This window comes from Homo sapiens, chromosome 5 (genome assembly GCF_000001405.40).
Source record: "Homo sapiens chromosome 5, GRCh38.p14 Primary Assembly".
Taxonomy (NCBI): Eukaryota; Metazoa; Chordata; class Mammalia; order Primates; family Hominidae; genus Homo; species Homo sapiens.
In genome coordinates, this window is record NC_000005.10 from 19,709,456 (window position 1) to 19,734,299 (window position 24,844).

General features: G+C 35.1%; 1 protein-coding gene across 20 annotated transcripts in view; it reads right to left on the reverse strand.

Moving 5' to 3' along the window:
• The window catches only part of CDH18 (cadherin 18), a 1,104,418-nt gene that overhangs the window by 238,160 nt on the left and 841,414 nt on the right, over nt 1-24,844 (reverse strand). For all 20 annotated transcript variants that reach the window (XM_005248228.5, NM_001349562.2, NM_001349556.2 and 17 more), the window contains one exon: nt 11,892-12,011. In XM_005248228.5, coding sequence (XP_005248285.1) covers nt 11,892-12,011 — 120 coding nt within the window. The remainder of the gene's footprint in view (nt 1-11,891; nt 12,012-24,844) is intronic.

A 24,844-nucleotide genomic window follows, 5' to 3' on the forward strand; every position in this document is an offset into this window, starting at 1 on the left:
ACTCAGGAGGCTGAGGCTGGAGAATCACTTGAAACTGGGAGGCAGAGGCTGCAGTGAGCCGAGATTTTGCCATTGTATTCCAGCCTGGGCAACAAGAGTGAAACTCTTTCAAAAAACAACAACAAAAAAAGAAAGTAAAGAAGGAAGGAAGGAAGACAGAATGACAGAAAGAGAGAAAGAGAGAGAGAAAAAGGAGAGAAAGAGAGAAAGAAAGAAAAAGAAAAGAAAGAAAAGAAAAGGAAAAAAAAGAAAAGAAAAGAAAAGAAAAAAAGAAAAGAAAGAAAAGGCATATCCCAAAATGTTGGGAGAGTTAGGCACATAAGACCAAAGCAAAAAGAAAATGAAATTGAGATTTTAACAATAATAGAAAAAACATAAACCTTAAAACCATAAGTTTGGCTGGGCTCAGTGGCTCATGCCTGTAATTCCAGCACTTTGGGAGGCCGAGGTGGGTGGATCACCTGAGGTCAGGAGTTCAAGACCAGCCTGGCCAACATTGTGAAACCCTGTCTCTACTAAAAAATACAAAATTTGCCAGGCATGGTGGCAGGCACCTGTAATCCCAGCTACACAGGAGGCTGAGGCAGGAGAATTGTTTGAACCCAAGAGGCAGAAGTTGAAGTGAGTCAAGGTCATGCCACAGCACTCCAGCCTGGGTGACAGAGTAAGACTCCGTCTCAAAAAACAAAAATAAAACACTCATAAGTTAATGATTCTTCTCTTATTCAGACATTCAGCCTTTCTAAATTCAATATATGGAAGATGGGAATATTTTTGAGAAATAAAATAAGACAATTAAAAAACCATGAGCATTAATATTAGAAATGGTATTATTTTGAATAACTGCCTTCCCAAAGTCAGATTTTATTTCTATATAAACAAATATTGTCTTCTATGTGTCACACAATGCACTAACCATTATGGAAGATACAAAAATGAGTAATGCAAGGTCTCAGTGAGCTTGCATTCCAGAGATTTATTTTTTAGTTATGTACATGTAAAACATGTTGTTTTCGTTTCTCAGAAATAATTTACTTTGTAAACTTGTAAACTGAGAATTATTTTATTTATCATGTTTCCAAAAATATTTAGTTTTCTAAGAGCTCTGAAATACTACTGTTTTGGCAATCATTTGGAAAAATCCTAAACTAGAATATTACAAAATTGATAGAAGTAGCAAAATAAAAACTGTTTACAGAAGATCAGAGACGTGACAAATGTTATGTAAAATACAAATATTACTAATATTTATTTAAAAATAATAATCCACAAGTCATTTCTTCTACAAAACTTTTAAAAACTTAGTTTTGTAGTTAAAGTTAGATAATGTAGGCCTTCAATAAAGATAATGAGACATAATTTGAAGTCCAATAATATGATGCCTTCAGTTTGGTTCTTCATACAAGGCTATCATAACCAAACAGCATAGTACTAACATAAAAATAGACACATAGATCAAAGAAATATAATACAGAACTCAGAAATGAAGCCACATACCTAAGGCCAACTGATCTTTTAAAAAACCAACAAAAACAAACACTGAGGAAAGAACACCCTATTCAACAAATTGTTCTGGGAAAATTGGATTGTCATATGCAGAAGAATGAAACTGGACACCTATTTCTCATTATATATAAAAATTATCTAAAGGTGGATTAAGAGTTAATATCTGAATCTATAAAAATACTAGAAGAAAACCTGGGACAAACTCATCTAGACATTGGCTCAGGCAAATAATTCCTGATTAAAACCTCAAAAGGAAATGCAACAAAAACAAAAATAGACAAGTAAGACTATATTAAAATAAAAGCTTCTGCACAGCAAATGCAACAAATCAACCAAGTGAACAACTTTCAGAATGGGAGAAAATACTTGCAAACTATGCATCTGACAAGAGACTAATATCCAGAATCTACAACGAATGCATACAACTCATAAACTACAACAACAACAACAACAACAACAACAAACAAATAACCCTATTTCAAAGTGGGCAAAAGACATAACAGACATTTCTCAAAAGGAGGCATACGAAGGGCTGCCAAGCATGTAAAAGACATTTCTCAAAAGGAGACACAAATGGCTATCAAGCATTTGAAAAAAATGCTCAACATCACTATTCATCAGAGAAAGGTAAATTAAAACCACAATGGAATAACAGCTTACACAAGTCAGAATGACTGTTAGTATAAAGTAAAAAAAAAAAAAAAAAAGCAAATGTTGGAAACACCGCAGAGAAAAGGGAATGTTTATACACTGTTGATAGGAATGTAAATTAGCACAACCTCTGAGAAACAGCATGGAGAATTCTCAAAAAAACTCAAAATAGAACTACCATTTGATTCAGCAAACCCACTACTACTACTACCCAAAGAAAATGAAATCATTGTATCAAAAGCATATCTATACCCATATGTTTATTTAGAACTATTCACAATAGCAAATATACAGTAAGTATCCACCAATGGATGACTGGATAAACAAAATGTGCTACATATACACTGTGGAATATTACTCAGCAATTAAAAAGAATGAAATCATGTCTTTTGCAGGAACATAGACGGAACTGGAAGCCATTATCTTAAGTAAAATAATGCAAAGATAAAGTCAAATCCTACATATTTTCTCTTATAAGTGAAAGCTAAATAATGTGTACACATGGACATAGAGTGGGGAATAATAAGTATTGGAGACTCTGAAGGGTGGGCAGGAATGAGGAACGGGAAATTACTTATTGGGTACAAAGTACATTTTCTGGGTGTTTATTATACCAAAAGCCCAAATTTCACCACTATATATCCATGTAACAAAACTCTACTTGTATCCCTCAAATTTATAGAAATAAAAGAAAATACAGATAATTAAAAACTTGCTACTGTGTGTAAAGCACTCAGGGAGGCCTGGTGTGGAAAGCAACAGTAACATCTATGGTATTGAAGCCCTTATAGAGCTCTCAGAGTAGAGAAGAAATGCCATATGAACAAAAGGGCTACTGCTATGTTTTAGGAGGAATGTAAAAATGTTACTCAAAGATCAGAGATTAGTTCTAAGAGTCCAGGGAATCAACCACTGAAGTGTAAATTTGTGTGGGAAGGGCATGCCAGGAAGATCAATAGACTAAGTGAAAAAATAACATAGAAGCAGTGCTTGGTTGAAATATAGAAGTAAGTATGAGCTTAAAATTTATATATATATATATATACACACACACACACATATTTATATATATGTATGTATTCTACATATATGTATATATAATAGGAAAATTATATATGTGTATTTTCTATATATATGTGTATATATAGTGGTAAAAATTGTGGAACATTAATAATATTCTAGTGCTTTCTAGATTTCATTGTACATATCTAAGATACTGGGTTAGGGAAGAATCTAGGGAATCAATGGGATTGCAGTACATTTAATCCTGTGGCAGTAGGATAAATGACCTCAGAATAAATTTAAAGTAATGAAAGAAAAATCAAATTGCTTGGTAATTATATAACATGAATTATGTTTAATCAGGTTTAAAGACTAAAGAACACAATCGCAATGTTTCCTGTTATCTATTGATTTAATATTTGACAATAAATTAACTAGTATTAATAGCTAATATATTTGCCACGCTATTGGCTAAACAATAATTCCCAGTATTTTTTTTTTCTCAATAGTTACTATTGAGATGCAGGAGGCATAGAGCGAGGTCACAAAAAAAAGAAGATTAAGTAAATTTATCTTTTATTAGGAAGAAATAGTATAAGATATGCTACAATTGACCAACATTGATTCTTATCTTTTTGATATGTAAAGGTATAACTACCATTTTATAGCGAATTAGATGATTTTTTTACTCTCCTGGTAGCAGCTGGTCAATTTTTTGACAAACAGTTGATATTTTTGAAGAAGTACATTCAATTGGTTTCCTTACTCTGTTTGCTTAACAGCTTTTTGTAAGTTTAATTTACATACCATAAAATTTACTTAAGTGTACAATTCAACCTAATTCCATCTTAATTGTTTCATCTAGGGCTACAACGAATAGTTTGACTAGAATAGAACACTGATCTATAATTGCATTTTGTTAGAACTATATGCAGAGGAATTAAATTTGATAGATATTATTCTGTTGATGTCAAAAGGACACTATGATCTTGCCACGGAGTAGGAGAGTTATCTGATATCTATAGTGTCTGTAAAGTACTTTGGTACTTTGTTTTGGAAATACAATTATCTAATAAATATGCATTCTCAGTGGAGTATCAGAGAAAAATGCATTTAGTTTCATTTTGATTCCCCCAAATAGCAAACCTAATATACCTTTTGATATTTCATTTAAATCAGTGTGAAAAATGTCCTTTTGCAGTTTGATATTGCACTGAAACTGTAAAGTGGTTACTCATGGAGAGAGAGCAGTGTGCTCTCTCTGGTTCATAGATTTCAGGTTGAAAGTAATGAAAGTATTCTCAGGAAGCCAGCTCAACACCTGCCTGGGCAGTGCACTGTACTATGAAGGTGATTCATATGTCTGCAAAGTGCATTTCACAAAGGTCCCAGGTATCAGTTAGTGCAGGGCATGCATCTGAATATAAAAATAACATAATCGGAGTGACTTCATTGAGGTCCTTTTCTTCAGCAATTTCCATGTAACCTTCTCTTTGTGTGCTTGTTGTCACATGATCACAAATACATGTTTAAATCCAGAAGATGATAAAGCTGATTGAGGGAGCATTGGCACCTTTATAAAGATTTCCAAATTTTCCTAAAATACCTCAGTGGCCTCACTGGCCAGAGCAGTGTTGATAGATACAGGGAAGTTGGAAAAATCTAGATTTTTAACTGCATATGTTGCTACCCTGAGTAAAATCAGAGTTATGATATGACAGGCAAAATGAGAAATTGATATTAAATAGACAACCACTAATGTCTACTAGAATTTAATAACTCTCTATTTCTTAAATGCTATCTACAGCTGATTTTTTTTCTTGTGTTGTTGTCCTCACACAATCTGCTGCAGTTCAGGAACTACTTGGAATTCTTCCCTAAAGTAGACAAAGTGAGATTTTTTTTTTTTTTTCAGTAAATGGAACCTATTAATTTTTTTTCCAAGAGGAACAAATTACTTAGCTTTGATGATGACTACCTAACCATTTTTGTCTGTTTGTCTGTTGTCTGAGAATATAAAATAATTATTTTTAAATGTTTCTACAGTAAGTTCTCAATGTCCTTAATAGGTTCTTTAAAATGGTGATTGCAAGAGAAGGGACATACAGCAGGTCCTCAAATTATGTCATTTCCATTACTTCATTTCCTTATAACATTGACGGAAACAATATATATTGTCATTATACTTTATTTTGCTTAAAAATTACAGTTTCCAAGAATCTATGAATGATAAGTGAGGACATACTGCAAAATTGTTTGTGCAAGCAATTATTATTGTTATTATTATTATCAATAGGAATGGGTTATAAAAAGATAAATTGACAAAGCATATTCTATTGTGAAATCTTCTTTATCTTCTGCAGATATTGTAAACCACAATTTAAATATTTTATTGTCTTAGCTTTTAATAGATATAAAATATTGACTTTGGAAAGTGAAAACTATTGTCAAATAGATTTTCATATGAAATGATACAAAATGAAATTTAAAATCTATAGGACTTCCAAAGATGCTTTATATAGTTTCTTTAAGCATATAGAGAAATCATTCCTAGACTTAATATTTTTCCTCACTGAGCAAAAATGAAATGAAATAAATTTGGGGAGGTAATAGAGAACCAAAAAATGTTGATGAATTTAACTACTTTATGCAGACTGAAGAAATAATGTTGAAAAACCTTGTTTTCAATTATATCCTACGAAATTCATTGAGGTCTTTAACTGAGTTCATTTTTATAGCTGATTGAATTCTGTTACAATATGTTGAGAAAAGGTCATCTTGAAGAATCACAGTTATTGTCCGTCAAGAGCTCTGCATTAGTGGCTGTTGTTTCAGACAGAGCATGGCAGTTTACCTCATCTAGAGACACTATTCTGAGTCAAGACTGTCAATTCCGAAGATAAAAGGTTGGTTATTTTATTGTCTAACTTTTATCTCCTTACAGATTATCATTCACAATTTTCCAATGGTATATTTCTCTTATTTATCATGTTTGTAAAAGATTTCTAGAAAATGTTTGGAAAGAATTTAATCGCATATAAGTTCATAATGTATCTTATCTTTTTAAAATAAATTTATATAACTTTTTGACTAAAAAGTTCTTTCAAACAAAATAATCATTTTTTACTACTTCAGATAAGACTATTTCAAATTCTCATAATCATTCAAAATGTAGTAATTTTGGAAATTCTTGTCGATCTCTTTTTTTTTTTTTTTTTGAGATGGAGTTTCTCACTCTGCCACTTAGGCTGGAGTGCAGTTACACGATCTTGGCTCACTGCAACCTCTGCCTCCTGGGTTCAAGCGATTCTCTCTGGCTCAGCATCCTGAGTAGCTGGGATTACAGGCATGCACTACTACACCTGACTAATTTTTGTATTTTTCAGCAGAGACAGGATTTCACCATGTTGGCCAGGCTAGTCTTGAACTCCTGACCTGACGTGATCCGTCCACCTGGGTCTCCCAAAGTGCTAGGATTACAGGCTTGAGTCACCGCTCCCAGCCTCTTGTCAATCTTAAAGAAGGAGACAAGATAACTTGAGTCCTATATTTTTCCAAGGACTGGACTAAGAGCATTGCCCTCATTTTCCCATGGGATTTAGGCATTACCATTCTAAGTTTATACACATGGAAACAGAAGCAAAAAACTTAATTAATTCGATCAATTTATTAAGCAACTAAGTAGTATTCTAGAATTTGAACACAAAGCATCCTCAACTTCTTTTGCAATAAACCTTACTATTTCAGAAAAAATATTTATAATTTACGCTATATTTATATTATATTAATTAAACTATAACGTGACTCCAAATAGTATATTAATCTTTGGTAGAAAGGCCAAGTAAGCAGTTTCTTCATGATATTTATAATAACGCCATGTCAAAATAAATAATAATCTGACTGTGTCTTTGAAACTGATAGTCATTATTAGGTGTAGGGAATTTTACTTGATGCTAAGTGTTCTTAGCATCTGAGATAGTGTTCTATCTCATCTAAGTGAGATAGATGTTATTAATGCAAAAGAATCTGACTGACAAAATATTTGAAGTTCAATGTCTACTCCTTTTTAATATCATGTAACACAAAAAATTAAAATACCGAAATACATTAGGAGTGTTGATTAAAAAAATGTGGTATGCTCTTTGTATATAAATAAAGATAGCCTGTCTGATCTTACTATTTTTATGTACCTGACAATTAAATGTAGAATGTATCAATGTAAATGTTTTCAGCCGCTATATTTTATAAATAAATATTCTTACATTAAGATATGTAAAGACTGTATGAAAAATGATACATGAGTTTAAAACATAAACACGCAAATATGAAAATTAAAAAATGGCTTAGTAGTATTTACTGGGCATGTGAAAAAAACCCACTATGAGAATCATTTATACAAATGTATGATCTCCATTACTGACTGTCAATGATTTATACATTTCATGTTAATTATGGTCAAAAGAGCTGATATTGACTACTATAAACAATTGTAAGGGAGGTTTAACTACGATTTTGTAAAACAGTATACTCCTGTATTTTTCGTGACATCAGGTTTTAATTTAGGTTTTCAGGCTTCCTGAATTGGTCATCAGGAAGATTCAGTATACTTGTATGAAATAGACACAGGCATGACTTAAATTAGATGCACTAACAAAAATAATATTAAGTAGTTCATAAGTTGTTAACTATGAAACAGCAATCAGAGAATCATCAAATGGCCATGAAAGTAATGAGCATTAAGAGATTTTCATGTCCAGTTAAAAACTACACTGGTCTTCCATTCCGTAAGGAAATGGAAAGTTTCCATTCTGTTTCTAAGGCCCTGGAATGATACCTGGTAGATTTCTGGTTCTGTCTCCAACCTATGTTATGGGAACTAGTTCTTTTGTGTAGGAATTTGATCACTCAGCTTTTGTAGTCACCACCTGACAAAAATTTTATGGTTTCTGAAAAGGCATAGAAAACTTGAAATATTGATTTATTTTTAACTCAGTTTACACTATAATAACTGAAGTAAGAGTGAGATTTGAGTTGTGCTAATAAACAACCATCATCCCAGATTTCTCTTGAATTTCATTTTCTGATAACTCAAAATGACTTTCTCACTCAGTGGCCTTCCTCAAAATGCATTGCTTAGGTTTAGCTGTTTCCTTAGATAGTAAAATGTTTTCTTTAATAACTGTAAAAAATGTTTTCTTCCTATGAATCTAGCCAGAAATAGCATATGTATTTTATATTTTATCATCGTAGGCCCCTGTACCTTTTAAATGGTAGTTAATGTTAAACCATCATTTTTTAGTGCACATTTGTCCTTTGTTGGTACACACTGAACACAAATCATAAAATTACCTTAACGAAAGTCATTAAAAACAATACATTTTTTTCACAAGATGTTTCACCATACTGATAAGATTTCAGTGTAAAAAAATTCAGATATTATTAATTTAATTCTGTATCACATAGTAACTCAACAGCCACACAATTCATTTTCTGGATACAGCTACTCAGAGATGGTTTACAAAATAGGAAGCCAAGGTCTCTGGAAGAGCACAATGGTTAATAAAATGCATCTTTCATGGAAACAAGGCAATCGAAACACTGATTTTAGTCATAAGCACTCACAAGTCCACATTTTGAGGGGTCAGAAGTTATGTTTTATTATGATTGGTCTTCAATGAAAATAACTGGAAACATGCTGAGGTGCAGTCATACTAATTAGGGGAATGGAATTAAGTGATACTATTAATATACACCATTATAAGTGACTACTATTTCCATGCTTCTTATATAACATGCCATCCAACTTAACTGATTCTTTGATTTTCAGTATGTTTGTATTTTATTCCATTCACTTTTCTGCACAATTTCAACTAAATTCATTAGTTCTGAGGATGTTTAACAGCATCATAATTGGGTTTTTAAGCACAAATTGCCAAATTTGTTGTTTGTGAAGACTAATGAACATTTTATTTTATACCCTACTTAGCACTTTCTACTGATAACTGTCTAACTCTCTAAGATACTTGCATATTTAAAAGATCTTTAAAAACACTTTTGTTCCTTAATGACCTAGTAGGACAGATATCCATAGGTTCCCATGATGCATTAGCCAGTATAATACTGATATTAACACACATCAAAGTGGAGGCATGTACTTTATTCAATATATTAAAGCTCTGAAGAAAGGAACAAAGAAATGCAAGAGCAAAGAAAATTTTGTAGAGTAGCATTTGAATAGCAGCCTATTTACACTTGAGATAAACTTATTTTTGTTGTTTAATAAGGTACTCACTTAAACTATAATATATGTACATAAATGAATGCACATTGTATTTACATATTATGTTACTGATATATTTGCTTCCCCCAAATCACAAACTACAGCAGTCCAACACTATTAGAGCATTGGTCTCAGTGACCTAATTTATCCATCCAAGTGCATACACATACATGTATTTACTCACACAACATATGCAAACATTCACATTCAGACACATGAACACACAAAATTGATGTTTGTTAACCAATTGTATGCATAAAAAGTGTAAAATAACTTTTTTAAACAATTTTATACAGGCTGTTTATATCACAGCGATATTCTATTAGATAATTGTAACTATTTATAAATAAATGTTTGGCTTTGTATGGCATCGTTAATGGACTAATGTCATATATTTGTGTGCATGTGTCTTTATGCATGTATGCCTTTGTGACATGTGCATGCATGTGTGTTAGTATATTTCTAAAAAAGGCAGTTGAAACAGCATTCCTGTTACTTTCCTCTAGGGAGATGTGTATTTTAAGGTAGGAATTTATATTTATTTTATATTTGAAGCAAATATTATTATTGGGAAAATAGAACAAAATGTGAAATATCACCATTAAAGAATGGCGAGCTTTTCAACTAATTCTAAGCTCTTCTAATGAATAATAATGTGTAATCATAAATATGTACATTTTTGTGCCACCACTTAGATTACTAGATTAATAAGCATGTTTTCCTAAATATTAAGTGATACCTTGGAACCAACAGAACCTGCAGGTCTCATACTCATTTTAAGTTGCATTATGTTATTTATTTTATTATATCCCAATATCTATTTTTCACTTTAACTACATATTACAATCTATTCTACAATTATAATGCATATAAGGATATTTATATATATTCATGTGTATGTTCTTCATTTCTATATCTATATATGTTCTACGTTGTTTTCTTTTTAAGGTAAAAGAAAGAGAGAAAGAAAGAAAAGAGAGAGAGAGAAAGAAAGAAAGAGTTAAGCAAGAGAAAGAAAGAAAGAAAGAAAGAAAGAAAGAAAGAAAGAAAGAAAGAAAGAAAGAAGGAAAGAGTTAAGCAAGTATGTCTGAGATCCATTCATGCCAGTGTATTTCCATGTTGGAGCACTCCAGGAAAAGAAAGAAGGCAAGTGACCCAATCAAATCCTCTTGTAAACATGATAATGACAAAACTCTTGGTAAACAATCTAGTGGTATTAGCTAGAGAGAAAGTGCTTATCTATACCATGTTTTTAGTTGGATGTGCCTCACATAACACATTGGTAAATAAATCTATAATCTGTAGACTTATGGAACAAGGTTCCCTGAAAAATGGGTTATATGCTATATAATTATAGAAGTATAAAGAGATATTTATGATTAAAAAATAGCTCCTTTTTGTATTAGTTATGTGGCTATGCCATTTACTTGGAGATGCCAGATGTTGATCTGATTCAGAATGCATCTTGCGCTCAAGAAGGATGTATGGTGCTGCTGGAACATCCTAGATCTCTCTCTACTTCATCCATCTCATAAATATGTACATCCTTAAAATTTTAGAAAAACTTGAGATTTGTTACTGAACACTTGTCTAAATTAAAAATGAGTTTTACTTAACCAAATTTTTAGCAACAAATTGATTGTCAATGGGGACATGTGATTTTTTTATGGTTTTTGGATTCCGCTGCTGTAGCAAATCCTGTAATACATTATTAAGCAGCCTTCATTACCATTTTGGCCTGATATGACAGGATATAACTGATGTGATATAATGTCATATGATATGATTGACATGATATGATTGACATAATATGTTTTGGCCAGTAAAAAATAAAAGGAGAGCAGAATTTATATTTTTTCCTGAAAAAATATTTATGTCTTTGACATTATTTTAATTCTTTTTTGGTAACACAATATTTGAGGGCTGAATAATTTACTCATTAGAAAAAATTGCCAACCCAAGAAATAGAAATCCCCCAGTACAATACAATTTTATATATATGTGTGTATGTATACCTAACAATTTATGTGACAAGCAAAATCAATGTAGGAAAATTTCAAAGAGCTATTTACCCTCTTCAGCTAAGAATTAAAACTAATATACAAGCGGAGCAAATAATATATTTGAAAATCTCACTCAATGTTTGTAATATGCCATATTTGTTTTAAACACAGATTATTTATTTAAGTATTACAGAAATACTGAAGGATAAGTAACATTTTCTTGCACGGGTATAAATAATGGGTTATCAACATAATAGGGAAAGCATAATATATGTACATTAATTTATTTTCAATTATTTCATTACATTGTTTTAGAAAAAGTGAGGATATGTTTAAAATATGTTAAAATCACATCATCTAATGGAAAAGAGCATATGGAAATAAAAACCATTGCTTTGCAACTTACTGTAGCAAACGCTTGCATGCGAGTTATGTGTAAATGCACTAACCTGTTTTAGGGTCGACGGAGAAGTAGGGTTGTCCTTGGAGAATGCTGTAAACCACCCGAGCGCTGTTTCCATAGGTAGGGTCATCTGCATCAGTAGCTGTCACCTGTAGAACAGAGGTACCTGTGCATTCAGGAAAACAAATTTTAGTGTGTGATGGCATTTAGCATATGATTAATTTGAACACAGAAAATGGGTATGCTGAAATAGCTATGGAGATCAGTACTGGTTGTGTCCTAGTAAATTTAATTAAATTTATGTATAAAACATATTACTTGCTTTCTTTCCCTGTCATCGACTGTAATGAAAGAGAGTCTAAAATATAATATTGGTCCCAAACCTTTTAACATGGCTCTTTATGTGTTGGTAACATTGTGAATGATGGTCTCTTTTGATTTTCATTAAAAAAGCAATAAAATATAACCAAGATTTGGTTGGCTTGCACTCATATATCAAATTGCTACTAATTTTGCAGTTAAATCAGAGTTATGATAAAGCTGTGTATAGCATGTTTCATGACTGTTCTGAAAACTGGAGGTGGAATGATTTGTGATTAAGTTGGGAAGGTGGGTGAGTTGATATTAAATTATCAATGACATCACAACACTCCATTCAAGTCATTTTCTGTCTTACACATTCTTTTTATTTATTACCTGCATAATTAATGAGTCACATAACTGGTCTCCTTTTTTTGTCCATTTGTTTTTGTTTGTTTGTTTCTGAGACATGAGATGGAGTCTTGCTCTGTCATTCAGCCTGGAGTGCAGTGGTGCGATCTTGGCTCACTGCAACTTCTGCCTCCCAGATTCAAGCAATTCTCCTGCCTCAGCTTCCTGAGTAGCTAGGACTACAGGCACCCTCCACCATGCCCAGATAATTTTTGTATTTTTAGTAGAAACAGGGTTTCGCCATGTTGGCCAGGTTGGTCTTGAACTCCTGATCTCTGGTGATCCGCCCCGCTCAGCCTCCCAAAGTGCTGGAATTAAAGGTGTGAGCCACTGCGCACAGCCAACTGGTCTACTAAGTTCAAATCTCATTCCTTTAGTGTCTTATACACAGTGCCAACATCGCACTGGATTTTTTAAAATGAAAATGGATTGTAAATTCATTTATAACATTTAAAATACTATATTTTGAGGTAATAAAATTATTGAATCTAGTATGATCGTGTCTTTGTGCTTACTTTTTAAAACACGATTTGCATAATTAGATACACCTATATAATATTTCAATTGTTTCTAAATGAAAACTTAATCTAAGTATAACATGACAACCATATATTAAGGGATATACAGCTTCATTGCAGAATTAGTGGGTAAGAATGCTCATCTAAGAATTCACATCTATTCATAAAATGTACCTGATGAATCATCTAATGGTGCATACTTGATATTTTATTCCACATCACTAGAAAAATTCTACCTACTAATTTGGGTTATCTATCAAGTAAAAATGTTTTTACAATCAATTGATCTTGTATGGAATTTTGTATTCATTTTGGTATTTGAATATGGAAGCACTGACAATTAATAGTTTTTTATTTTAGTAATTATGTCAATGACTCAGGACCTAATGTCCGTTCAACTAGAAAATTTGTACTTCTAGGCCCGGGCATGGTGGCTCATGCCTGTAATCACAGCACTTTGGGAGGCTGAGGCTAGGGGATCACCTGAGGTCAGGAGTTTGAGACCAGCCTGGCAAACATGGTGAATTTTTTTTTGTTAACACACACAAAATTTTTTTTTGGTAACCCTGTCTCTACTAAAAATACAAAAATTAGCTGGGCATGGCAGCACATGCCTGTAATCCCAGCTACTTGGGAGGCTGAGGCAGGAGAATTGCTTGAACCTGGGAGGTGGAGGCTGCAGTGAGCCGAGATTGTGCCATTGCACTCCAGCCTGGGCAACAAGAGCGAAACTCTGTCTCAAAAAAAAAAAGAAAGAAAATTTGTACTTCCATGTTGAACTTCAGACACAATTTTAGGGAAAGTTTATTCTGTGTCTTCAAGGGATCCTAGAAAATAGAATATGCCAAGCTCACCTAACAATCCTTATTAGCATATCATAAATATGTATAATATATTAAGGATTCTGGCCCCTAAATAGTATTTTAACAATGAGACTCTAAGAAGAAATATGACTTGCAATTATCCATCCTCAGAGGATGAGAGCTGTGTTATGTCTAAAAGAGATTTCAAATTACAGACCAATCAAATAGTATGGTGACAGTAACTTTGCTGTTTAGAATGCTGAGAAACTGGGTCACTCATACACTGTGGATAGAAATGTGATTGTTTGGCAATTTCTTATAAAACTAAACACACATCTACCCAATAAATTGAATAGGGCATTTTATTTTTTATTTTTATTTTATTATTATTATTTTTTGAGACAGAGTTTTGCTCATGTTGCCCTGGCTGGAGTACAATGGCGCCATCTCGGCTCACTGCAACCTCCACCTCCCGAGTTCAGGCAATTCTCCTGTCTCAGCCTCCTGCATAGCTGGGATTACAGGTACCTGCCACCACACCCAGCTAATTTTTTCTATTTATAGTAGAGATGGGGTTTCACCATGTTGGCCAGGCTGTGAACTCCTGACCTCAGGTGATTTGCCCGCCTCAGCCTCCTAAGTGCTGGGATTACAGGTGTGAGCCACCGCGCCCAGCCATAGCATTTTAACAAATAAATAAAAACTGATGTTCACAGAAAAACCTGCTTACAAATATTCATAGTGGCATTGTTCATGATAGCCCCACACTGGAAACCATCCTGATGTCCTTCAATGAGAGACTTGTTAAATGAACTGGTACATTCATACTATGAAATATTACTCAACAATAAAAATGAATAGACTATGGGTACATGCAACAACTTGTATGAATCTTCAGGGAATCAACTAAATGAAAATTAAGTAAATCCCAAAAGGTTGTATGCTATGATTCCATTTATATAGCGTTTTTGAAATGAAAAAATTTAGAAATGAATAACAAGTTATTATTTTCTAGAGATTTAGGGAGACAGACTAGAGCAAGGAAGTTTGGTATAGCAGGGAAGCATAAGGGATCCTTATATATTGGAGCTGTTCAATATTTTGATTATGGTAATTGATGCATAAATAGGCACAGCTGATAAAATTCTGTAGAACTGAGCACACTCGTACACACAGACATACACACACACACACACACACACACACACAAATTTATACAAGTAAATCTAGGGAAACCTAACGACAATCAGTAGCTCGTACCATTTCAATAACCTGGTTATGATATTGCTTTATGGTTTTGCATGATGTTACCATTGTGAAAAAAAAAAGATTTGCAAAATGTTACCATTACATGCAAATCTACAATGGTCTCAAAATTACAAGTATTAGAGACAAAGATGCGTTCTTGCCTCTGTGCTACTCCATTCTTAGAGAGGTAGTTTGGGTTTGTGTGTCCTGTGAGTTTTCTCAATATACCGCTAACCTTTCTGGCTTGATTAAATCAGTTCCCACCACAAACTGTCCTGAGCTGGTCACATATAGACTATCTCTTCCACTATAAAGTATAATTATTTATTAACATAGCATATTAAGGCCTTTTTTTTTTTTTTTTGAGACGGAGTCTCCTTCTGTCACCTAGGCTGGAGTGCAGTGGCACTATCTGGGCTCACTGCAAGCTCCGCCTCCTGGGTTCATGCCATTCTCCTGCCTCAGCCTCCTGAGTAGCTGGGACTACAGGCGCCCGCCACCACGCCTGGCTAAATTTTTGTATTTTTAGTAGAGACAGGGTTTCACCATGTTAGCCAGGATAGTCTCGATCTCCTGACCTCGTGATCCACCCACCTCGGCCTCCCAAAGTGCTGGGATTACAGGCGTGAGCCACCGCACCCGGCCCATATTAGGGACTTTTTATGTGATGGCACAACACTTGATCCATAACCGATATTCAAGCCTCCAACTTATTCAGAGAATACCACTAGGTAGGCATCTACGACTAAAAGTTGGTTTTGAAGACATTTTCACTGGTACCTCACTGAAAAAACTAAAATAAAACAAAGTCTGTTGTTAGGTACCCAGATTAGACTTTAAATGTGCAGCAAGCTTAAAATATGGTTAAAAATGATATAAAATTATTTCAATTAAAGCTTTCTTTGAAGGCCAGGCACAGTGGCTCACGCCTGTAATCCCAGCAATTTGGGAGGCCGAGGCGGGTGGATCACCTGAGGTTGGTGATTTGAGACCAGCCTGACCAACATGGAGAAATCTCATCTCTACTAAAAATACAAAATTATCTGGACGTGGTGGTGCATGCCTGTAATCCCAGCTACTTGGGAGGCTGAGGCAGGAGAATCACTTGAACCCGGGAGGCAGAGATTGCGGTGAGCTGAGATCACACCACTGAACTCCGACTTGGGCAACAACAATGAAACTCCGTCTCAACAACAACAACAACAAAAATCTTTCTTTGATCTGATAAGAGGAGTGTTAACAGTTCTAGGCACATAGAGATTACTGGGATTCGGGAAAGGGAAAACTACAGAAAACAGTAGAATAAGGACCATTAAAAAACTAGGCTATAAACTCCTCAGGTTTTGAAATTAGCTCTGGCCCTGAAATAGCAATTTAAGCCTAAATAGTTTTTAATGTCCAAATAGCAGTCCCTGGGCAACCATTTCATGGAAAAAGCTCAGAAGCACAAACAGTGCAAGATCATTCTTCTTTTGCTGTAATAGGCTAAATTGCCACATGAAAGGAGGAGAGTTGCTCTGTTTAGCTTGGGGTGTCTATAAAAGTCCAGCCTTGTTAAGTGAGAGTTGAGATACACGAAGGCAGTGACAAGTTAAATAAGGAAAAACAAGGAAAAGAGATGAAAAAGGAAGAAGGGTAGCATGGTGATACTGAGTAAGTGATTGTTTAAAGTAACAAAGGAAACTTAGTAGAGCAGACAAAAATATATATATAGTAACTCTCTGCCCTGATCCAAAAGAATGGTCATTAACAGCTACATACATTTCTGCACAGGAAGTCTCACACAATTGTCTTTGTGTGTGAAGCAAAGAGCAACAAATCGCCTCGTGTACTATGTGTACTGTACTTCGGTAGTGCCTGAAGGCATCAGGGTACCACTTTGAGTACACAGATTGCTGGTTGAAGGGAGCACACACACACATGAATAGCAGAGCCCAACTAAATGCCAGCCCATCAGAGAACAGAACAGGAGTGGACATAAATAGCAGGGATGGAAAAGAAATCTCTTGCCCTACTGTTCAAGGATCTTTTACTAGGTAGGACTGGAAAGAAAGCTTAAGGCTGAAAGAAAAATATATTCGTATCTTAAATTCTTGTTTATTTGAAATCTAGATGGAAAAATTATAAGACTTGGTATTTTCAGTAATTCTTTATATTAGACAAAAGTGTGTGCTTTTATTAATGCTATAGGCTAAATGCTCATATGCCCCTCAAATTCATATGTTGAAATCCTAACTTCTAATGTGACAGTATTTGAGGGTAGGGTTTTTGCAAATACCGTGTGAGAGCAGATCCCTCTTTATTAAGAGATTAGTAACTTTATTAAGAAGGCCACAAAGAGCTTCCTCATTCCTTCTGCCATATGATGACACAGCAAGAAGATGGCCTTCTGTGAACCAGGAAGTGTGCCATCATCATGGAATCTTCTTGCACCTTGATTTTGGACCTCCCATCTTTCAGAACTGTGACAAATAAATGTTGTTTAAGCCACCTAGACTATGGCTTTCTGTTATGTGAGCCCAAATAAACTAAGACAATCAATTAATCAATAAACAAAAAGTAAATGAATAAGTAAACTAATCAAGGTATATGTTATGGGTTAAATCATATCCTCCCAAATTGATATGTTGAAGTCCTAATCCCCAGTACCTCAGAATGTGACCTTCTTTAGAAATAGTACTTTTTAAATGAAACTAGTTAAGAGAAGATCATGCCAGAGTAGTGCGGGCCTCTAATCTACATTGACTGGCATCCTTATAAAAATGAAAAATGTGGAGAAAGGTACATATACACAGGCATAACATCATGTGAAGATGAATGTAAATATCAGGGCGATGTGGCTACAAGCCAAAAACACCAAAGATGGTCAGCGAACCACTAGATGCTATGGGAGAGCTGTGAAACAGGTCACTTCTCTGTTCAGAGAGAACAAACTGGTGACACCTTGTTCTCAGACTTCTAGCTTCCAGACTGTAAGATAATACATTTCTGTTGTGTCAGCCACCCAGCCTGTGGCACTTTTGTAGGGCAACTCTAGCAAATGAATATGGTGTGCTAGAGTTTCAGTGGGAAAAATGGACATTTATTCTCATAATTTATAGTTGCTTTTTAATCTGGGCAAAACTATGAAGTTAAAAGTCAAGAAAAAAAATATCTGTAATTGTGTATTATGTTTGCAACCAGATACATCATAAGAGAGATAAAATAAAAAGTTATTGTTACAAGTAGATTACAGTAAATAAAGATGAATATCTGATATTTTTGAACATCAGGCACTTCTAATGATCTGCCTGCTGACATTTTTAAAGTTAGTTAATGCATTATATTGGGCACTTTAATAAAGAATTTTATCACTCGTTAAAAGTTCAAGTGAAACGGATTATCAGTATTTATATCTCTATGTCTGAGCAATTCCTTTATTTACACTGTGTGCCCAAATTTTATGCATAGTAGAAAAGAAAAAAAATTATTACCCTCTACGTGCTAGACTTCAAAATGAAAATATATATTGTCTAAAATTCCATTATTCCACCAGAATATTAAAATAGGAATCTAATTTTCTCTGGGAATTATTATATAGATTTGATGAATAGATATTAAACCAACAGTTCCCCTCCCTAGATAATTGGTTTCCCAATTAAAGAAAAATCTTTCAAAAGTGCTTTAGAAGCATTCTTAAATTTTGAAACTGTTTCCCTTAAAAGTTATAATCACAAAAATATTGTATTTCAAGTTTCATTGCTTTTTGGTATACAATATTTTCATGGTAAATATTTCCTATGGAACACAGTTAGCTGTTCCCATGCTGAGGATTAGTTTCTCTCAGCTGATGTTTTATACAAATCTGAGAAAGATTTAAGTACATGAGAATGCCTTCAAGATATCTTTTCTACAATAAAACTTAAATCTTATTTTCTTTAGGTATTGCCCTGTGTCATTCTCATTCTTTTCGTTTGTTTTTTGGTACTACTGCTTTATAAACAGCACGTATTTTGCATAGACACATATCAATGAGAGGCAGAAAGAGTAGACTTCCTGGTAAGTTTCTAAAGACGAATTTGAAATATTTAATAAGGCATTTTTATACCAAGCAAATACTCTCTGAGACTGCAAATTGTTATGCATGACTTGTCAGGGTTAACAGCTCTGTTAAAATCTCAAGAGATTCAATGTTGAATAAGAACTTTGAGTAAAAATAAGCTGGAGATTTACGAAGGCTCAGAGTACTTCTCTGAAGGAATCTCTTAGGGCTTAATTCTCAGAAGATTTTCCCAGGAAACATGAAAAAGAAATAGTCGTCAAGATACAACTTAAATTTCATTCTATACAGGAGAACTGTAATTTCACCAACAGACCAATAACACTGCATTGTAGTCATTGTGTAATTTAATAAAGTTTTGAGTATTAACTCAAGTCACTGAATTGAAAAGAAAAAAATATTTCTGCAAGTACACATATGAAACATCTGGGCTGAGTACCAAAACAAAATTCACTATTTTGTGTACTAACTATAAAACCACAGCAATTGTTAATTTCTGTGCACTTTCAATAGGATCTTATTTATGGCACTAACTAATGTGAAATTTCACATTCACATGTACAATTTATATTCTGTTCCATAAATGGAAAAAATAATAGGGAAATAATAGGTATTAAGTGCCAATGATGTGGAAACCCTCTGTTATAAGCCATTGAATTTAATAAAATAATTAAGTTAACAATAATCTATTGAGAAAATGACATTTAATACTGTTTTACCCATAGAGAAGTTGAAGTTCAAAAAAGTTGTATAGTTGACAATTGGAGACGGCAGAATTCAAGTCCAGCCCTATCTATTTTGATATGTAGCAGTCTTTCTCATATACACTATTACTTGACCCAGTCAAGATCTGCTGAATCTTGTTTAATAGTTACAATATTTTCTGCCTTTTTGTTTTGTGTGGTCCTTGCTGGTGTACAATGACAGTCCAGATGCATCTACTTGGGCAGAAGAAGCTTTCTATCACATTTCCCATAGTGAAAGGCCGAGGCGGTAAGTCCATTTTGTCAAATAAGAGTATGTTGCAGAATACTTAGAAGGGAGTAATATCCAGGAACTAACAACACTGTTGTGCTCCTCTGCAGCCCTGTAGAATGCTCATAATTCTCTTCATAGTTGTACAGAGTAAATGGCTCTAGTGAAAATTGACTGGACTGATCGTATGCCCACTAGTCTTATGTATCTTACAAGTATATTTGCATATTATCTCAAATTGATTTCCTACCCTGTCCTGCTCTGCTCTGCTTGCAGAAACTTAATACCTGTCATTGACATTGATTTGCTTTCCTTATCAACAGAATAAGGGGAAGTTATAGATGGAAACTGAAAAACAAGAATAAGTCAATCTCTCTGTCTCTGCCTTTCTGTCTCTCTCTCCCTGCCTTTCTGTCTCTCTCTCCCTCCCACCTTCTTTCTGCTTTGGATGATGTCTCTGGCTAAGACTGCAGTACTTCAGTGGTTCCAGCTCCCTTTCAGCTGCCCCCTACCATGGTCCATTCTATAAGATCCAGGTTCTGTGCTTAGGTAATACTACTACTCTCAGCCTTAAGGGAGCCATACTGCTGCAGTGATTGTTTCACAGGGTACTATTTGACTTTTCAGTCCCTCCATTTTTGTAACTTGTTCTCAATTTTCTCTATTTGTCTAACTGCCAGTTGATTTGTTTTTCTGCTAGAACTTTGATTGACACAGAAGGTATTAACAGATTTCTCCCCAATGCTCCTTTATCCATTTTGAAAGTAATGACTACACACTACCAAACATAAAGGTTAGGTTCTATATTTGATGCTAATATTGTTAGTACAAGTTGAATATCTCTTATGCTTGGGACCAACATTTCAGATTTCAGATTCTTTTCAGTTTCAAGAATTTGCATATACATAATGAGATACTTTGGGGATGGGACCCAAGTTTAAATACGAAATTCATTTAAATTTCATATGCATCTTATTTCTATGGACTGAAAGTAAGTTATGTTTTTAATAATTTTGTGAATGAAACAATATTTGTGTACATTAAACCATCAGAAAGCAGTATCTCAGCCACCTATGTGGACAATCTGTGGTTGTTTGGCATCACCACTATTTCTGACTCTGAATTTATATTGCTACTGCTAAACAATCATTTTCACACAGAAGTATTAAATGGTAAAAAAAAAAAAGCATGCAATTAATGCAGTGAAAAAGTAATGCATTTGTAGTAGCTAAGTAGAAGAACAGCATCACCAGAATACATATATTAGCCATTAAACAATAAACTAAAATGTTACTGTCTACTATATATTTTTTAGGAGAGAATAAACATCAGAAGCAATTGAGGGAACAGGAAGTGGTTCCTGTGGAGATGAGGAGGCTTTCTGCTGGATGGCTACTTAAAATTTTTCTCTAGAGTCACTTGCCTTATTAGCAGTGGTTTACATCTTTGATTTTATAGATGGACAAGATTTTTTATTCTGTTACAAATGCACACTACTCTAGTCCTACAATGAACCTATCACACATTTTCATCATATAGGCACTTCTCTTCAGTGTTAAAAAATGTCATCTTCGGCCAGGCGCAGCGGCTTACACCTGTAATCCCAGCACTTTGGGAGGCCGAGACGGGTGGATCACGAGGTCAGAAGATCGAGACCATACTGGCTAACATGGTGAAACCCTGTCTCTACTAAAAATACAAAAAAAATTAGCCAGGTGTGGTGGCGGGCGCCTGTAGCCCCAGCTACTCGGGAGGCTGAGGCAGGAGAATGGCATGAACCTGGGAGGCAGAGCTTGTAGTGAGCCGAGAGAGCCCCACTGCACTCCAGCCTGGGTGACAGAGTGAGACTCCATCTCAACAACAACAACAAATGTCATCTTCAGCATCATGTGAGCATTCAGACAGTTTTGGACTTTGGAGCATTTTGAATTTCAGATTTTGGAATTAGAGATACTCAATCTGTTGCAGATTCTTATTTTAAAATGAGAATCTGGATGCCTTTGCATTCAAAAACTTGAATTACTCAGCATATTAGAACCTGACAAATACATATATACAGAGAGAGAATGTTTAAGAACTCAAATAATCGTCGAAGTATTCTATCAATTATCTCTCTAATGTGTGACATGTTTTAGAAATGGTTTCTTGAGATAAGCTTCCATTTTACTTAATGAAGTTGAAAGTAATGGTGTCACCATCAAGAATTAATGCATGAGTCTGCATGGTGGCTCACACTTGCAATCCCAGCACGCTGGGAGGCTGAGGCTGGTGGATTGCTTAAAATCAGTAGTTTAAGACCAGCCTGGGCAACATGGCAAAACCCTGTTTCTACAAAACACACAAAAATTAGCCAGACCTGGTAGTACACACCTGTAGTTCTAGCTACTCAGGAGGCTGAGGTAGGATAATCAATTGACCATCAGAGGACAAGGCTGCAGTGAGCCCTGATCGTGCCATTGCACTCCAGCCTGGGTAACAGAGTGAGACCTTGTCTCAAAAAATAAAAAAAAAAATTAATGCATTTTTTAAAACTATGAGAAAGGCCTAGTGCCTTCCCATAATTTAAAAAAATTATAGCCTCATACCTATAATCACAGAACTGTGGGAGGCCAAGTTGAGCTCAGGAGTTTGAGCCCAGATATTCAAGACCAGCCTGGGCAACATAGAGATACCTAGTTTCTACAAAAAAAAAAGTTTTTAAAATAAAAAATTATACAGATGTTGTGGCACACACCTGTAGTCCCAGTTAATCAGAAGGCTGAGGCAGGAGGGTCTTGAGCCCAGGAGTTCAAGGCTGCAGCAGGCTATGATCATGCCACTGCACTCCAGTCCACATGACAGAGTGAGAGCAGCGGGCTATGATTATGCCACTGCACTCCAGTCTACGTGACAGAGTGAGACCTTGTCTCAAAAAAATAAATAAATAAATAAAATAAATTGTGACACAGCTATGTCATCAAAATCAAGCATTTCTTGTTTAGCCTTTATAGTAATTAAGCCCATAAGGTAACTTTATGAAGGACTCCTTAATCCTGAACACCCATGGGAATATCTACTTTCTTAAACAGTTATCTCTCTTGTAAAGTTTAATTGCTCCCACCTAAGATTTAATTTGTTTCACCAGGGTGAAACAGCTTGGGACACAATATTGTTTTCAGAATGATTAGTATATTTCATCTCTTATATCTGTTATCTTCGGCACTAGATTCTTTCCTTTTAACTGTTTTTTGTGTGAGAAGTTAATATTTGATCCATGCATACTTAACCTTGTAAAACTTGTTTCTTCTCACCTACAGGCTGTCAAACTTTAAATGGTCACACAACTGGAGCCTCTGATGATAGCTCCCTTTTACCAGGAACCCTCAGATAGGCCTCTGAGGGAAATCTGAGTTCCGTTTTCCCAAAACAGCATCCCCTGTCAGCAGGGAGTAGCTAATATCGGTCATGATCCCTATTCTAACAGCAGTTAGATGCACCTCTTCAGAGGAGGAAATGACACAGGCAGGAGGCAGAGAAATCCTAGGCATACCAGGGGTGGGCATCCCATGAAACCTCATCTTCAAGCCAAAGACAGTTCAAAGCCTGAAGACCAAGCTACAAGTCAAATTCACAGACCAGATAGAGAACCTGTCTTCCTCTTTGTAGTGCTTTCCTTTGATTGAGCTTCACCCTTCACCTATTTTACATATACCTACCCTTTCCTAATTGTTTTTACACTGTTCCCACCTTTGACTGGTGCCTTTGTTTTAACCTTTTTCCAAACTCTTGAATGGATCAGTACATACTTCTTTATCCTATGCCTATAAAAGCTGCAGACTCAGCCACACAGAGAGATGACCTGACTTCAAGAGAGACAACCCAACTCTCCCATCTCTTCTCCGCTGAGAGCTGTTTGGTCACTCAATAAAATTCTCTGCCTTCACTACCCTTCAACTATCAGTATGACCTCATTCTTCTTGGATGTGGGACAAGAGCTCAAGACCCACCAAATGAGGGTGCCCAGAAAGTCTATAACACTGGCCCTCTGACCTTGCTGATGGAGGGCAGCCGCCTCGTATGACAGAAGCAGCAGCAGGTCCAAGCCAGTCCCAGAGCCATGCTAGTCCTGGAGTCATGGGCAAGAGCAGGGTAAAAGGCTGACTGAGCTGCTAACACGCCTCTTTCCACTGGACAGCAGACAGCTAATTAGCATCCTGTAACATCCCCTCTGGGGCTTGGGTGTCTCAGGCACCACTGCCTGGGCATCATCAAATTCCCCTCAGGGTGACACATCTGATCTTACTGCAGCCTCACACAGAACTTGCTCATGTGTTGATGCTCAAAGCAGTTGGCCAGACCCCACACTTGCTTGCTTACATGCTCACTCCTGCCAGGGGCTGAGCGCAGTGGGCTGAGTAGGTGGGGTGTTCCCTGCTGCAGGTCCGGCAAATGGGGCAAGAAAAGTCCTGTGTCACCTTTATGCTGTTCTTGTTTAATGAATGCAACAAAATTTCACAGTGTTCTCTGCAGTTAATCATTATTCTGTTTGTTCATTTTAATCCTTGTCTTTTATCTTGTTGCTTTATTTCCAAAAAAATGAAACAAAAAAAAGCAGCTGGTTGATTGAAAGAGAAATAGCACATTATCATTTAAAAACTGAGTTGATGTTTTCCCCTTTCAATTGGAATGCTACCTCTTAGTAAGTGTGGCTGGAATGCATTGATAT